The sequence below is a fragment of the Homo sapiens genome, chromosome 9 (genome assembly GCF_000001405.40).
Source record: "Homo sapiens chromosome 9, GRCh38.p14 Primary Assembly".
In the NCBI taxonomy this organism is placed as follows: Eukaryota; Metazoa; Chordata; class Mammalia; order Primates; family Hominidae; genus Homo; species Homo sapiens.
This window is the reverse complement of record NC_000009.12, coordinates 130,800,838-130,817,606: the sequence shown is the minus strand read 5'-3', so window position 1 is coordinate 130,817,606 and position 16,769 is coordinate 130,800,838. Positions and strand designations below refer to the sequence as shown.

Sequence of the window (16,769 nt, the reverse complement as noted above, 5' to 3'; positions counted from 1 at the left end):
ACAAAGGAGACAGGGTCATTTACAACCTGACGCGTCCACCCTACTGCTGTGTCCAGTTTCCATTGGCTGGAACAGGACCTCACATTCTGTATTTGTCCTGATTGGCTAGGAACTTAGAACTTTTTAAAAGAGGCAAAGGCAGAGGAGAACAAAGGAAGGAGGAAGTAACTTGTGGAGTGCTGAGAAAGGTAAAAACACCTTCAAATAAGGAAGAGGAACAGGCCATGACCTAATGCTTGCTTGGACCAGTATAAGCATGCCAGGGCAAATATTTAGGCTAAATTGTGAGAGCTAAGAATATAAAGTACATTGATTTCTTTATTACGGCTAGCAGATATTTAAGAATGTTAGCACAGGTCTTTGAATAAATTTTTCTTCTAAGAGAAGTTACTATTTATTCCTAATTAGATGGGGAGGAAAGTCTTTGAAGAGGAACCTCTACTTTACTTTTTACAGATCTTAAATGCATTAGGACTTAAAAGCTTAGATACTTTATAATTCTACTTATATGACATTCTGTAATAAGCAAAATTCTAAGGTCAGGAAAGTGAGCAGCAGTTGCCAGGGCTGGGAGGGATGACTGATAACAAAAGGAATGAGGGAGACCAGGCGGTGGCTCACGCCTGTAATCCCAGCACTTTGGGAGGCCAAGGCGGGGGGAATCACCTGAGGTTCAGGAGTTTGAGACCAGCCTGGCCAAGATGGTGAAACCCTGCCTCTACTAAAACTACAAAAATTAGCCAGGTGTGGTGGTGCATGCCTCTAATCCCAGCTACTTGGGAGGCTGAGGCAGGAGAATCGCTTGAACCCGGGAGGCGGAGGTTGTAGTGAGCTGAGATCGCACCACTCTGCAGTCCAGCCTGGGCGATAGAGCAAGACTCTGTCTCAGGTTTTGGACTTACTTGGGACCAGCTACCCCTTTCTTCTTGCCTATTGCTCCCTTTTGGAATGGGAATGTCTATCCTATGCCTGCCCCACTGTTGTGTTTTGGAAATAGATAACTTGTTTCATTTCAGGGCTCATGGCTGGAGGGAATTTGAGACAGAGCAAGATTCTGTCTCAAAAAAAAAAAAAGAGGAATGGGTATGCTGGGGTTGGGGGCTGGGAGCTGCAATTTTAAATAAGGTGATCGGGGCCGGGTGTGGTAGCTCACACCTGTAATCCCAGCACTTTGGGAAGCTGAGGCAGGAGGATCGTTTGAGTCCAGGAGTTTGAGATAAGCCTGGGCAACATAGCAAGACATCTCCACAAAAAAAATTTTTAATTAAAAAATAAAAATTAAATAAGGTGATCAGAAGAGCCATCACTGAAGATGACAACTGAGCAAAGACCCAAAGGAGGTGAAGAGTGAACTACGGAGGAAGCACCTTCCTGGCAGAGAACAGCAAGTGCAAAGGCCCTGGGCAGGGAGGATGACTGGGGATCATTCAAGCAAGAGCAAAGAGGCCAATGTGGAAGGAACAGAGTCAGCAAGAAGGAGTGTAAAAGGAGGTAAGTCAGAGGTTATAGTGGGTGGGGAGACGGGGTGAAGCCTCACAGGTGACTGCCAGGGCTCTGGTGCTTGTTTGTTTATTTATTTATATTTTTTGAGACAGAGTCTCACTCTTGTTGCCCAGGCTGGAGTGCAGTGGCGCAGTCTTGGCTCACTGCAACCTCCACCTCCTGGGTTCAGGCGATTCTCTTGCCTCAGCCTCCCAAGTAGCTGGGATTACAGGCGCCATCACGCCCAGCTAATTTTTGTATTTTTAGTAGAGAGGGGGTTTCACCATGTTGGCCAGGCTGGTCTCGAACTCCTGACCTCAGGTGATCTGCCCACCTTGGCCTCCCAAAGTGCTGGGATTACAGGCATAAGCCACTGCACCCGGCCTCTGGTGTTTATTTAGAAGGAGCTGGGAAGGTACTGGAAGGTTTGCAGCTGAGGCGAGACAGAAATATGACATTTAAAATGATTAGCTCTGGCTGCTGTAGGGAGAAGAAACTAAGGAAATACCAGCAGAAGCAGGGACCCTGGCCAAGAGGCTAATGAAATCATCCAAGTGAGAGATGACAGGGGCTTGGACAAGCAGAGGTGACCTGGATAGACTCTGAAGTTACGGTTACCTGAAAGACTGGTACGGGGTTTGACAGAAAAAGAAGAGTCAAGGAAGATCCCAAAGTTATTGGCCCTGGGCAAGCAGAAACATGAAGCTGGGTTTAACTGAACAAAGGAAGAAGTGACTATATCAGATCTGGGGACAAGATATGAAGTTCAGTTTTTTATTTTTATTTCATTATTTTGAGAGTCTCACTCTGTCGCCCAGGCTGGAGTGCGGTGGCATGATCTCAGCTCACTGCAACCTCCGCCTCCCGGGTTCAAGCGATTCTCCTGCCTCAGCCTCCTGAGTAGCTGGGATTACAGGCGTGTGCTATCACGCCTGACTAATTTTTGTACTTTTAGTAGAGATGGGGTTTCACCATGTTGGCCAGGCTGGTTTGTAACTCCTGACCTCAGGTGATCCACCTGCCTCAGCCTCCCAAAGTGCTGGGATTACAGGCGTGAGCCACCATGCCCGGCCTGTCTGATTATTTTAATTAAGACTTTAAGTCAGACAGAGGAGCTTATTTTGGCTACTCTAGATCCTCTGTTGCACATGCATTTTAGAATCAGCTTTATTTTTACTAAATTTTATTTGTATTTTACTGATTTTTTTTATTTTACTAAACTTTATTTTTATTTTATTTTATTTTTTTGAGACAGAGTCTGGCTCTGTCACCCAGGCTGGAGTGCAGTGGTGCAATCTCGGCTCACTGCAAGCTCCGCCTCCCAGGTTCAAGCCATTCTCCTGCCTCAGCCTCCTGAGTAGCTGGGACTACAGGCGCCCGCCACCACGCCCGGAGAATTTTTTGTATTTTTAGTGGAGACGGGGTTTCACCGTGTTAGCAAGGATGGTCTCGGTCTCCTGACCTCGTGATCCGCCCACCTCGGCCTACCAAAGTGCTGGGATTACAGGCGTAAGCCACTGCGCCCGGCAGATGGTTACTTCTTGAGTGAACTTTGGTAGTTTGTGTCATTCAAGGAATCTGTTTCTTCTAGATTGCTGATCAATATTCAGTTATTACACTTTCAATATCTTTAGAATCTGTGTGATGTCATCTCTTTCACTGCTGATATTACAGTTATTGTCTTCCCTTTTTTCCCCTGATCAGTCTGGGTAGAGGTTTATGAGTTTCATTGCTCTCTCAAATAACTAGCTTTTGGTTTCATGATTTCTGTACTGGTTTTCTGTTTCATTGATTTCCAGACTGGCCTTTTCTTTTTCTTTCTTTCTTTCTTTTTTTTTTGAGACGGAGTCTCGTTCTGTCGCTAGGGTGGAGTGCAATGGCGCGATCTCGGTTCACTGCAACCTCCGACTCCCTGGTTAAAGCGATTCTCCTGCCTCAGCCTCCTGAGTAGCTGGGATTACACAGGCAAGCGCCACCACGCCCAGCTAATTTTTGTATGGTTAGTAGAGACGGGGTTTCACCATGTTGGCCGGGATGATCTCAATCTCCTGACCTTGTGATCTGCCCGCCTCAGCCTCCCAAAGTGCTGGGATTACAGGCATGGGCCTCCCTGCCTGGCCACACTGGCTTTTTCTTCTGCTTAATTGGGGTTTCACTAGTCTTCATTTTTTCTAATTTCTAAAAGTGGGACCCCAAGGTCATTGATTTGGGACCTTTGTTCTTTTCTGATACAGATGCTCAACTTAAAATTGGGTTACATCCTGAAAAACCCATCATAAAATTGAAAAATGTAAGTTGAGACGTCATAAGTCAGGGACCATCTGCACTATATAAATTTCCCTTTAGCTCCATCACACAAATTTTATGTGGCACTTTCACCTTCATTCAGTTCCAGATACTTACTTACTTCGCTGTTGATTTTCTTTGACCCATGATTTACTTAAAATTATGTTATTTTCCAAATATTTGAAAGATCTTCCAGATACCTTTCTGTTATTAATTCCTCATTTAATTCCTTGTGGCCAGAGATCATACTTTCTTTTTTTTTTTTTTTTTTTTTTTTGGAGATGGAGTCTCGCTCTCTCAGCCAGGCTGGAGTGCAGTGACACCATCTCGGCTCACTGCAACCTCATCCTCCCGGGTTCAAGTGATTCTCCTGCCTCAGCCTCCTGAGTAGCTGAGACTACAGGTGAGCGCCACCATGCCCAGCTGATTTTTTGTATTTTTAGTAGAGAAGGGGTTTCACCATGTTAGCCAGGATGGTCTTGATCTCCTGACCTCGTGATCCGCCCGCCTCAGCCTCCCAAAGTGCTGGGATTACAGGCGTGAGCCACCGCACCTGGCCAGAGATCATACTTTCTACAAATTGAATCAGCTTACATTCACTGAGGCTTTTGTTTGTTTGTTTTTTTCGAGACGGAGTCTCACTGTTGCCCAGCTGGAGTGCAGTAGTGCAATCTCGGCTCACTGCAACCTCTGCCTCCCGGGTTCAAGTGATTCTCCTGCCTCAGCCTCCTGAGTAGCTGGGATTACAGGTATCCACCACTACACACAGCTAATTTTTGGTATTTTTCGTAGAGACGGGGTTTCACCACGTTGGCCAGGCTTGTCTCGAACTCCTGACCTCAGGTGATCCGCCCGCCTTGGCCTCCCAAAGTGCTGGGATTACAGGCGTGAGCCAACCCGCCGGGTCTACTGAGGCTTTTAAAATGGCCCAGAAAATGATTTGTCTTGGAAACAGTTCCATATGCACTTGAAAAGAACGTGTATTCTGCTGTTTAGGGGTCGAATGTTCTACTGAACATCAATTAAGTCAAGTCAGTTGATTATATTGTCCAAATCTTCTATATCCTCACTGATTTTTGTCTACTTGTTCTATCAGTTTTTGTGAGAGAGTTGTTAAACCTTCAACTATAATTACAGATTTATTTCTCCTTGAAAAGTTTGTATTTTGAATCTCTGTTAATACATGCATAAACATTTAGAATTATGTCTTGATGAATGTATCTCTTTATTATTATGAAATAATTCTCCTTTATCCTTGGTGACATTCATTTTAAAATATAGTTTGTTTAATATGCCACTAAGGTTTTCTTTTCATTAATGTTAACATATTAACATCTTTTTCCACTCTTTTGCTTTTAACGTATTTGTATTTTTATATTCAAAGTGGGATAACTGTAGACAGCATATAAATATAAATAGGTCTTGCTTTTTTATCCAATCTCACAATGTCTGCTTTTAATGAGGATTTTTTTTTTTTAAGATGGAATCTCGCTGTCACCCAGGCTGGAGGAGTGCAGTGGTGTGATCAGAGCTCACTGTAGCCTCAAACTCCTGGGCTCAAGTGATCCTCCCACCGTAGCCTCCTGAGTGGAACTACACCACCACACCTGGCTAATTTTTTTTTTTTTTTTTTTTTTTGTAGAGATGGAGTCTCACTTGGCTTCCAAAGCTGGTCTCAAACTCCTGGCTTCAAGTGATCCTCCTAATCCACCTCCCAAAATGCTGGGATTACAGGCATGAGCCACTCTGCCTGGCCCTTAATGGTGAATTAATTATTGATATGAATTTTAACCTACCATCTTGCTCTTTGTTTCATATTTGTCCCATCTGCTCTGTTTGCTTTTCCTGTTTAGTTTTTTTTTCTGCCATCTTTTGGATTATTTAAAGATATTTATCCCAACTTTTTTTTTTTTTTTTTTTTTTTTTTGAGACGGAGTCTCACTCTGTCGCTCAGACTACAGTGCAGTAGCACTATCTCCGCTCACTGCAACCTCTGCCTCCTGGGTTCAAGTGATTCTCCTGCCTCAGCCTCCCGAGTAGCTGAGATTACGGGCAGGTGCCACCACCATGCCCGGCTAATTTTTGTATTTTTAGTAGAGACAAAGTTTCACCCTGTTGGTCAGGCTGGTCTCGAACTCCTGACCTCATGATCCACCCACCTCGGCCTCCCAAAGTGTTGGGATTATATCCCAACTTTTTATTGTTGTTGGCTCATTAGCTATAACTCTGCTACTATAGATTTTATCATATGCATCTTTAACTTATCACAGTCTACCTTCAATTGACATTATACAACTTCACATGTAGTGTAAAAAGCTTACAAGAGTATATTTGTTCTCCCACTCCCAGTCTTTGTGCTGCTATTGTCATAAACTTTACTTCTATGTAAGTTACAAATGCTACAATGTGTAATTACCTCTAAGACATATCTTTTAATGAGACTGAAACAAAAAGAAAAAATATCTTATGTATTTATCCACTTAGTTACCCTTTGCATTGTCTTCATTTATTTTTATAGCTCCAGTTTTCTTTTATTTGTTTGTTTATTTAGACAGAGGGTCTCACTCTGTCACCCAGGCTGGAATGCAGTGGTGCGATCATAGCTCACTGCAGCCTGGGACTCCTGGTGGCTCCAGTTTTCTACCAGTTATCATTCTCTTTCTGCTTTAATTACATCCTTTGATATTTCTTGTACTGCATATCTACTGGTAATAAATTCTTCCTTTTTTTTTTTAAAGTCTGAAAGAGACCTTATTTTGCCTTCATTTTTGAAAGGTATTTTCACTGAGAAAAGAATTCTAGGTAGACAACTGTTTTCTTTCTTTGCTTTAAATGTATTGTTCCACTGTTAACCTGGCTTACATTGTTTCCAATGAGAAATCTGGTGTCACCCTGATCTTAAGTATATAATGTATCTTTTTCTTTGGCCATTTTAAACCATGGTTTTAAGCAATTTGCTTAAGATGTGCCTTAGTATATAGTTTTTCTTCATGTTTCCTGTGCTTGGAGTTCCTTGAAATTCTTGGATCTGTGTGTTTACTGCTTTCATTACACTTGGAAATTTTTCAGCCATTTTTTTTTCTCTCTCTATATATATTTTTTGGTCCCTCATACCCTCCCTTCCTTCAGGGACTCCAATTCCACACACATTTGGCTACCTGATGTTGTCCCTCACTTTACTGATGTTGTGTTCATGTATTTTTTTCAGGGTTTCTTTTTTTTTTCTGCTTCATTTTGGATAGTTTCTATGGTTAAGTCTTCAAAATCACAAATCTTTACTTGTGCAATGTTTATTCTGACAGTCTTCAGTGTATTTTTCATCTCTGTATCTTTCTTTTTTGTGGAGACGGAATCTTGCTCTCTCGCCCAGGTTGGAGTGCAGTGGTACGATCTTGGCTTACTGCAACCTCTGCCTCCCAGGTTCAAGTGATTCTCCTGCCTCAGCCTCCCGTATAGTTGGGATTATAGGTGCACGCTACCACACCCAGCTAATTTTTGTATTTTTAGTAGAGGTGGGGTTTCACCATGTTGGCTAGGCTGGTCTTGAACTCCTGACCTCAGGTGATCCACCTACCTTGGCCTCCCAAAGTGCTGGCATTACAGGCGTGAGCCACCATGCCCAGCCATCATCTTTCATGTCTTTACTTAACATATTAAATCTTTTCTTTAGCTTACTGAACACATGGAATACAATTATAATGACTAATGTCTGTAATGTACTACTTATATAATCTGTCTCATTTCTGGTCAGTTATTGGTTGTATGTTACTACTTCTGCTCATACCTAGTAATTCTGGAATGGCTGGTAAACATTGTGCATTTTACCACACTCGGTCCTAGATGGTTTTGTATCCCTAAAAATATTCTTCAGCTTTTGTTTGGAAAAGGTTTGATCTTTTTGGTCTTGCTCTTAACCTTTGCTAAGCAAGACCAGAATAGCATTTATTCTAGGATTAATTTTTCCCAACTATTGAGGCAAGACTTTTGTGATGATTAACATTATGTGTCAACTTGACTGGGCCATACGTGCTCAGATCTTTGGTCAAACGTTAGTCTGGCAAAATGCGTAAAGCAGCTTGGCCTCCCTAATGTGGGTGAGCCCCATTCAATCTGTTAAAGGCCTGAATTGAACAAAAAATCTGACCCTTTCCTGAGTAAAAGAGAATTCTTCCAGCCTAACTGCCTTCGAACTGGGACATCAACTTTTTTCCTGCCTTTGGACTTGAACTGAAACATTGGCTCTGCCTGGGTCTTGAGCCTGTCAGCCTTTGGACTATAGCCACATCATTGGCTCTCCTAAGTCTCCATCTTGCTGACTCGCCCTGCAGATTTTTGGGACTTATCAGCCTCCATAATCACGTGGCAATTCCTTACAATAAATTTCTTCACACGTGCACACACACACACACACACACACACACTCTCTCTCTCTCTCTCTCTCTCTCTCTCTCTCTCTCAAGAACCTTCACTAATACAACTCTTCTTAGTACTCCAATCAATACCCCTGAATCATGAAATGTTCTACTCTGCTACTGGGAACAGGAACTATTTCTGGCCCTGTGTGAACTCCGTAAATGGTTCTCTCTAATCCTTTTGAGTGGCTCCTTCCCTGAACTAAGGGGTTTCCTCACATGGGTGCACTGATCAGTACTCAACCGAATACTCGAGTGGGCTCCCTGGGCATCTGCAGGCCAGTGTTCTCTTCTCTGTGCATCTCTTGCCTCTTTGTTTCTCTGCCTGTGAACTCTAGCTGCCCCAGCTGCCCTGGATTTTCATTTTACCTCTTCAATGAGGAGAGACTGCTGGGGCCTGCTGATGTTCCTTCTCCCCGCACCGCGGTCTGGAAACTTTCTCCGAGCATTAAATCAGAGCAATCATAGGGCTCTATTTCTCAGGTCTCAGGATTCGCTGTTCTTAATCACCTTAGACCTAATAACTTCAGAGTTTGACATATTTTCTCCAGTTTTACAGTTGTTTCAGGTGACAGGGTAAATCTGAGCCCCATTAGCTTAGCCAATCATGTGTGGACACAAATGTAAGAATTTTAAGAGTTCAGTTTTGACCTGTTAGATAAGTAGTTGAGTATACAAATCTGGGATTTATAAATGTGGGAGTCATCAGAGTATGGCTGGAGTTTAGAGCTACAAGACTAAACAGTCTCACCACAGAAGTGTTCAAGGTGAAACTGTCTTATTTTATGTAAAAGATGAATGCGAGGCAAGTCTGAAGGCCCTATCTATCTACCCACCTGCCTACCTACCTACCTGCCCACCCATCTTGAAATTGGGATAAAAAAGCTGGGTGCGATGGCTCATGCCTGTAATCCCAGCACTTTGGGAGGCCAAGGTGGGCGAATCACCTGAGGTCAGGAGTTCGAGACCAGCCTGGCCAACACGGTGAAACCCCATCTCTACTAAAAATACAAAAATTAGCCAGGCGTGGTGGTGCATGCCTGTAGTCCCAGTTACTCGGGAGGCTGAGGCAGAAGAATTGCTTGAACCTGGGAGGTGGAGGTTGCAGTGAGCCGAGATTGTGCCACTGCACTCCAGCCTGGGTGACAGAGCACGACTCCATTTCAAAAAAAAAAAAAAGAAGAAGAAGAAGAAGAAGAAGAAGAAGAAGAAAAGAAATTAGGATAAAGGTTGTCACAGCAATACCGGGTTAACATGCTTATTTGATTTAAAAAAATGAAGTCAAAATTTTACTGACAGAAAGTAAATCTATGTTTGACCAGTTAATCTGTTTTTTTTTTTTTGATCAGTTAATTTGATAAAGAGAACTGGCTTGCCAATTTATATAAATCTACATCTGCAAAAATTTTTTAAATTATAATTAAGGGAGGGCAGGCACAGTGGCTCACGCCTGTAATCCCAACACTTTGAAAAGCTGAGGTGGGGGGGATCACCTGAGGTCAGGAGTTCGAGACCAGCCTGACCAACATGGTGAAACCCCATCTCAACTAAAAATACAAAAATTAGCCGGGCATGGTGGCGGGTGCCTGTGATCCCAGCTACTCGGGAGGCTGAGGCAGGAGAATCTCTTGAACCCTAGAGGCAGTGACTGCGGTGAGCCGAGATCGCACCATTGCACTCCAGCCTGGGTGACAGAGTGAGACTCCATCTCAAAAAAAAAAAAAAAAAAAACTATATATATATATATATATATATATAAAATTAAGGAATGTATAAAATATAATGGAAAATACATCCTTTACAACTATTTAAACTTATAATAAAAATCTTAGATGTCAATTTAAATGTGCAAGGGGGTAAATACAGTTTTTAAAAATTCTATTAGAAGACCAGGCGTGGTAGCTTAAGCCTGTAATCCCAGCACTTTGGGAGGCCACGGCGGGCAGATCACTTGAAGTCAGGAGTTCAAGACCAGCCTGGCCAACACGGTGAAATCCCGTCTCTACTAAAAATACAAAAATTAGTCAAGCATGGTGGCATGCGCCAGCTACTCAAGAGGCTGAGGCATGAGAATCTCTTGAACCCAGGAGGTGGAGGCTGCAGTGAGCTGAGATTGTGGCACTGCACTCTAGCCTGGTCAACAGAGTGAGACTGCATGTCAAAACAACAAATTCTGTTACGGAGTACACAGGAAAGTTTGAAGACCACTGGATGATGGCCTACTCACACAATAGAATACCATGCAGGTATGAAATATAAAAGCAAACTTTTTTTTTTAAGATGGAGTCTCACTCTGTCGCCCCAGCTGGAGTGCTGTGGCAGGATCTCGGCTCACTGCAACCTCTGCCTCCCGGGTTCAAGCGATTCTCCTGCCTCAGCCTCTCGGGTAGCTGGGATTACAGGCGCCCGCCACTACGCCCAGCTAAGTTTTTGTATTTTTAGTAGAGATGGGGTTTCACCATGTTGGCCAGGCTAGTCTCGGACTCCTGACCTCCTGATTCGCCTGCCGCGGCCTCCCAAAGTGCTGGAATTACAGGCATGAGCCACTGTGCCCAGCCAAAAACAAATTTTTTAAAATAATGATGAAACTTTCTATAGACAAATAGGAAAATGTATCCAAGACATATTGTTATGTTAAAAAAATAAAGGTGTGTAGGTCCAGAATACTTTACACAGTATGCTAGCTTTTGTGTGTAAGAATGGGATTTAAAAGTATATACTTATATTTGTGTAAATTAAGACATATAACATTTTATGTCATAATTAATTTTTTTGAGACAGTCTTCACTTCACTTTGTTGTCCAGGCTGGTCTTGAACTTCTGGGGCTCAAGTGATCCTCCCACCTCTGCCTACCAAGTAGCTGGGACTACAGGCGTGCATCACTGCACCCTGCTTATGCTAATTTTTAAATGTGTGAATGCAATTTTTTTTAAAGTCCTCACAGGAAATAGAGCTGGCCTGGCTTACTAACAAGCTTAAATGCAATATGGAGTTCTCTGGGATACAAGCCTTATTGGTACAACTACCTACAGTAATTAAATCACCTTGGATTGACTCCAAGGCAGATTTATCTTACCATAAAGGCAACAGCTTTAGTCTTTTTGCCTCAAAAGAAGAGCCAGACTGTGAGCTCCTTGTGGGTTGAAATTATATCTGATCCATGTTTGTATATCTGTTAAGCAAATGGTATTATAGTGAGCTTCCACAGACCTACCTCCTAAGGATGGTGACAGATATCTACCATTGAAGAGTTTGCTGGGATTCTACCTGGTGGCATCTGGTCTTTGACCAGCTTCTGTAGACATGAGGTTTGCAGAAGCACCATTTTCACTAACTATTGTAACTCTCATGGGGTCTTCTTAATCTGGTCCTCTGGGCCAGACACCTGCTTTCTTCCTATTTTAAATCATTTGCATCTCTCTCTGACTGGTATAATTCCACCATTCTGAAACTGCAGTTGCCACGCTGAAAATGTTGTTATAAATAAGATTATTCATTTAAAACACACATTAACTTCAGAACAAAAAGGTTAAAAAAACCTCATGAGGAGATCCTCTGTCCTGCCTGTCTAAAAGACAGGTCAGTAACTTTGTTTAACTGAAGGGCTTCCCCCTTCATCCCCCTACTTAATAAGAGCTGGCTTTTAAAGGACATGGCTTAACAGAATTGTCAAGGTCCTGAGTTACTACTGAAACCAGCTGAACTGACTCTGGCTTCTGTGGTTTGAGTTGGCATGTCAAAATGAGTTTCCCTGCATCTAAGTCTTCTCCCCTCCTTAAACAGAGAAGGGAACTGGCCCTTCCTATCTCTCTGAAGCCAACTTCTGCTCACTTCTTTCTTCCTTCCCCTCCTACTTTTTCTCTTTTCTTGGGAAACTTTGGAGATCAATCAATCATAAACAATTGTTCTGTCATTATGAATATACCGAAGAAATATCTAGTACAAGTAAACAGTCAAGAAATTCCGTAAGAAAAAGAAAAACTTTCTAGGCCTGTGATTGTAGAAGGTTTATTCATATTAAAATGTGCCACTTTGAAAATGTTGTTATAGCTGGGTGCAGTGGCTCATGCCTGTTATCCCAGCACTTTGGGAGGCCGAGGTGGGTGAATCACGAGGTCAGGAGTTCGAGACCAGCCTGACCAATATTGTGAAACCCCGTCTCTACTAAAAACACAAAACAAATTAGATGGGAGTGGTGGCATGTGCCTGTAGTCCCAGCTACTCGGGAGGCTGAGGCAGGAGAATCACTTGAACCCAGGAGGCAGAGGTTGCAGTGAGCCAAGACTGTGCCACTGCACTCCAGCCTGGGTGACAGTGCGAGACTCTGTCTCAAACAAACAAACAAACAAAACAGAAAAGAAAATGTTGTTATAAACAAGATTATTCACTTAAAAGACATATTAACTTCAGAACAAAAAGGTTAAAAGAAAACCTTATGAGGAGATACTCTGTCTTGCCTGTCTAAAGACAAGTCAATAACTTTGTTTAACTGAGAGACCTCCCTCTTGGTCCCCCTACTTAATATGAGCTGGCTTTTGATAGATGACTCTTTGGGCTAGAAATAGAAGTTAATATTAGCTTAAAAACAAGTCTATGCATCCTTCTGATTTTATTATGATATAAAAACAATGTTAACACAACAATTAAATCAACCCAAGATTTGGGCTTAACTTCTCGTGATTTAAACCTTCTAAATTAACTACATTAGTTTTATAGGTCCAGTAGGATCTCGTTTGCACAAATTGTTTAAAATTTCAAAAATATAAAACTGTTTAATTGAAAGAAATTGTAATAAAAGACATCTTTTTAAAATGATTTAGTCTCATGAATTTTTTCTTTTCGAGACGGAGTTTGGCTCTTGTTGCCCAGGCTGGAGTGCAATGGCGCGATCCTGGCTCACTGCAACCTCCACCTCCCGGGTTCAAGCGATTCTCCTGCCTCAGCCTCCTAAGTAGCTGGGATTACAGGCATGCGCCACACGCCCACTAATTTTGTATTTTTAGTAGAGACGGGGTTTCTCCATGTTGGTCAGGCTTGTCTCGAACTCCTGACCTCAGGTGATCTGCCCACCTCGGCCTCCCAAAGTGCTGGGATTACAAGTGTGAGCCACTGGTGTGAGCTCACTGCCGAGATCCGCCTCCTGGGTTCACGCCGTTTTTCTGCCTCAGGCTCCCAGGTAGCTGGTACTACAGGCGCCCACCACCACGCCCTGCTAATTTTTTTGTATTTTTTTAGTAGAGACAGGGTTTCACCGTGTTAGCCAGGATTGTCTCGATCTCCTGATCTCGTGATCCACCCGCCTCAGCCTCCCAAAGTGCTGAGATTACAGGCGTGAGCAACTGTGTCCGGTCATTTTTTTTTTTTTCTTAAGAGGTCTCACTCAGTCTCTTGGGCTGAAGAACAGTGGCATGATCATAGCTCACTGCAGCTTCAAACTCCTGGGCTCAAACAGTTCTCCTGCCTCAGTCTCCTGGGTAGCTGGGACCACAGGTGTGTGCTTTGCCTCATTAATTCTTAAAACACTTCAAGTCATAAAGACTTTGATGTGTTGGCCTAAGTTTTAATTTCCAGGTGTTTAGTCAACTTTAAGATCTCTTTAGCTGATAATAAACTGAGTTAATAATCTTTGGAGACATGGACAATTTCTAATTAGGAAAAAGGTCCAAACACCAGCCTTATGTATTCCGTTTTCAATAAACCTTTTATTGAAAATTGTCAAATGGATGATATACAAAAAGTGAAATCAGAATTTGTTTCCTTTCTGTAAAATGGCCAAGTTATTCTACCTCCAGATAACAGATTCCTTTCCTTTTTATCCTCAAAATATTTTGTTAACTATCTGAATTTTCCAGCATATTCAGGAATCGTTTTAACAAAATGTTCAACTTTTTAAAGTTACATCTCTATAACCATTTTATTTATTGTTGTATGTTTCCAAATTATTGCCTTTAACAATTTTGTGTCTTAGGATATTATGATTTATGTCATGCACAGACATGACAGAAACATGCATAGAAAAAGTCAAAGCATTTTTGGCTGGGTGGCTCAGAAAAGAGAAGCCAGGAAACTATGAATAACAAAGAGAGCCGGCTGGGCGCAGTGGCTCTCGCTTGTAATCCCAGCACTTGGGGAGGCTGAGGCGGGTAGAGCATGAGTTCACGAGTTCGTGACCAGCCTGGCCAACATGGCAAAACCCCTTCTCTACTAAGAATACAAAAATTAGCCGGGCGTGGTGGTGCGGGCCTGTAATCCCAGCTACTCAGGAGGCTGAGGCAGGAGAATCGCTTGAACCCGGGAGGTAGGGGTTGCAGTGAGCTGAGATCGCGCCATTGCACTCCAGCCTGGGTGACAGAGGAAGACTTCTGTCTCTAAATAAATAAACAAATAAATAAATAGACTGAAGTAATCCTAGAAGGGAAAAAGGCAGGGGAAGATCTCCAATCCCCGTACAATCACATCCCTGACTGACCCTTGAGCCACTCATGCATGGGACAGACACAAAGCAGCTCAGCTACAGACTAAAGATCTCAGAGAGAAACACATTTGTGTTCAAACCCAGCCAAGAAAACCACCTGATAAAACCAAACAAGTATTAGAGAAAAGTAACAGAATCCAGAATATCCAGAATTTGACATTCATACAGTCCAGTAAACAATCCAGAACTACCCACCATACAAAGAAGCAAGACAGTGGGACAAATTAGTTCAACTGCCAGTCTAACCTGCAGATCAACAAAATGCTGGAATAGACAAAGATTTTAAGCAGCTATTATAATCATCTCAATGAAGCAGTATAAGGCATGTTTCCAATGAATGAAAATCTCAGCTAAGAAGTAGGAAATCTCAATGGGGGAAATAGGAACAACAAAAAATAATTAAATGGCAATTCTAGAACTGAAAAAAATTAACTTTTTGAAATAAAAAATTCACTGGATATACTCAGCTGAATGGACAAAGAAAAGGACAGTATGTGCATTTCAAAAAAGATGAGTAGAAATTAACCAAGATGAAGAAGAGAGATAAAAAATTGAAAAGGCTGGCATAGTGGCTGACACCTGTAATCCTAGCATTTTGGGAGACCAGGGCAGGTGGATTGCTTGAGCCCAGGAGTTCAAGACCAGCCTGGGCAACATGGCAAGACTCTGTTTCTAGTAAAAATCAAAAAATTAGCCAGGCGTGGTGGCACGTGCCTGTGGTCCCAGCTACTCAAAGAGGCTGAGGCAGGAGGATGGCTTAAACCCAGGAGGCCAAAGTTGCAGTGAGTCGTGATCACACCGCTGTACCATCCAGCCTGGGCAACAGAGAGAGACCATTTCAAAAAAAAAAAAAAAGACTGAAGGAAAAAAATGAACAGACTCAGAGACTTGCTACATAATGTCACGTGTTCCAGTGGGTAACTACAATACCAAAAGGAGAGGGACAGGGAGAATGGGGTAGAAAAAATTTAGAAGAAACAAGAGCCAAAAACTGCCCAAACTTAATGATACGCAGATACTTGAAGATGCAAGATGCTGAATGTACACCAAGAAGAAACAAAGCAGCTTGCACTTCATAGTCAAATACTCCAAAACCAAAGATAAAGAGCAAATCTTAAAAGCAGTGAGAGAGAAAGGGCAGGTATGGGAACAGGTATTAAACAGATGAGAACAAGGACCCAATGAAGGGCTGACTTCTCATCGGAACACATGAGCCAAAAGACAGTGAAACATCTATAAGGGGCAAAAACAAAACAAAAGCCAACAACAAAAAGACACAACCCAAAACTAAAACCAATACCAAAAAACTTGTCAACCTCTATACTCTCGGATTATAATTCTATACCCAGAGAAAATATCCTTTAAAAATGAAGGCAAAGGGAAGACATCTTCAGATGAAGGAGAAAACAAAGAAAATCCATTGTCAGCTGGGCTTGGTGGCTCACGCCTGTCATCCCAGCACTTTGGGAGGCTGAAGCAGGCAGATCACGAGGTCAAGAGATCGAGACCATCCTGGCCAACATGGTGAAACCCCGTCTCTACTAAAAACACAGAAATTAACTGGGCGTGGTGGCACGCACCTGTAGTCCCAGCTGCTCGGGAGGCTGAGGCAGGAGACTCGCTTGAACCCAGGAGGTGGAGGTTGCAGTGAGCCAAGTGTGCCACTGCACTCCAGCCTGCATGATTGAGCAAGATCCTATCTCAAAAAAAGAAAGGAAAAAGGGCCGGGCACTGTGGCTCAGGCCTATAATCCCAGCACTTTGGGAGGCTGAGGTAGGTGGGTCACTGAGGCCAGGCATTCAAGACCAGCCTGGTCAACAGGGTGAAACCCCGTCTCTACTAAAAATACAAAAATTAGCTGGGTGTGGTGGCGGGCCCCTGTAATCCCAGCTACTTGGGAGGCTGACGCTGAGAATTGCTTGAACCCAGCAGGCAGAGGTTGCAGTGAGCCGAGATCGTGCCTCTGCACTCCAGCCTGGGCGACACAGAGAGACTGTCTCAAAAAAAAGAAAAAAAAAAAAAGGAAAGAAAAAGGAAAAGAAAGTGAAATAGAAAAGAAGGTAGGGAAAATCATATGCTCACACAATGGTGAATACACAAATGTTCATAGCAG

The 16,769-nt window shown here is 42.8% G+C and overlaps 1 protein-coding gene and 1 long non-coding RNA gene across 3 annotated transcripts in view, besides 5 other annotated features; one reads left to right on the top strand and one right to left on the bottom strand.

Annotated features, from left to right (window-relative positions):
- Positions 1 to 7,794: part of a mitotic recombination region, noted in NCBI's record as "ABL micro-breakpoint recombination sub-region recombines with the BCR-ABL micro-breakpoint cluster region, producing the e19a2 transcript", that runs on past the window's edge. NCBI's record gives the evidence for it as "EXISTENCE:nucleotide sequencing assay evidence [ECO:0000219][PMID:15843824]".
- Positions 1 to 16,769, bottom strand: part of ABL1 (ABL proto-oncogene 1, non-receptor tyrosine kinase) — a 174,633-nt gene that overhangs the window by 70,069 nt on the left and 87,795 nt on the right. The gene's annotated exons all lie outside the window — the stretch shown is intronic.
- Positions 1 to 16,769: part of a biological region, named in NCBI's record as "ABL breakpoint recombination region", that runs on past both edges of the window. NCBI's record gives its function as "recombination_partner: LOC107963947 | LOC107963948 | LOC107963951 | LOC107963955 | LOC107966121 | LOC107966125".
- Positions 1 to 16,769: part of a mitotic recombination region, noted in NCBI's record as "ABL minor-breakpoint recombination sub-region recombines with the BCR-ABL minor-breakpoint cluster region, producing the e1a2 transcript", that runs on past both edges of the window. NCBI's record gives the evidence for it as "EXISTENCE:nucleotide sequencing assay evidence [ECO:0000219][PMID:20703256]".
- Positions 1 to 16,769: part of a mitotic recombination region, noted in NCBI's record as "ABL major-breakpoint recombination CML sub-region recombines with the BCR-ABL major-breakpoint cluster CML sub-region within the BCR-ABL major-breakpoint cluster region, producing the e13a2 and e14a2 transcripts", that runs on past both edges of the window. NCBI's record gives the evidence for it as "EXISTENCE:nucleotide sequencing assay evidence [ECO:0000219][PMID:20703256]".
- Positions 1 to 16,769: part of a mitotic recombination region, noted in NCBI's record as "ABL major-breakpoint cluster ALL sub-region recombines with the BCR-ABL major-breakpoint cluster ALL sub-region within the BCR-ABL major-breakpoint cluster region, producing the e13a2 and e14a2 transcripts", that runs on past both edges of the window. NCBI's record gives the evidence for it as "EXISTENCE:nucleotide sequencing assay evidence [ECO:0000219][PMID:20703256]".
- Positions 147 to 16,769, top strand: part of LOC124902288 (uncharacterized) — a 34,793-nt gene continuing 18,170 nt past the window's right edge. For both annotated transcript variants that reach the window (XR_007061823.1, XR_007061824.1), the window contains exons 1-2: positions 147 to 188; positions 1,288 to 1,491. This is a non-coding gene — a long non-coding RNA (uncharacterized LOC124902288). The remainder of the gene's footprint in view (positions 189 to 1,287; positions 1,492 to 16,769) is intronic.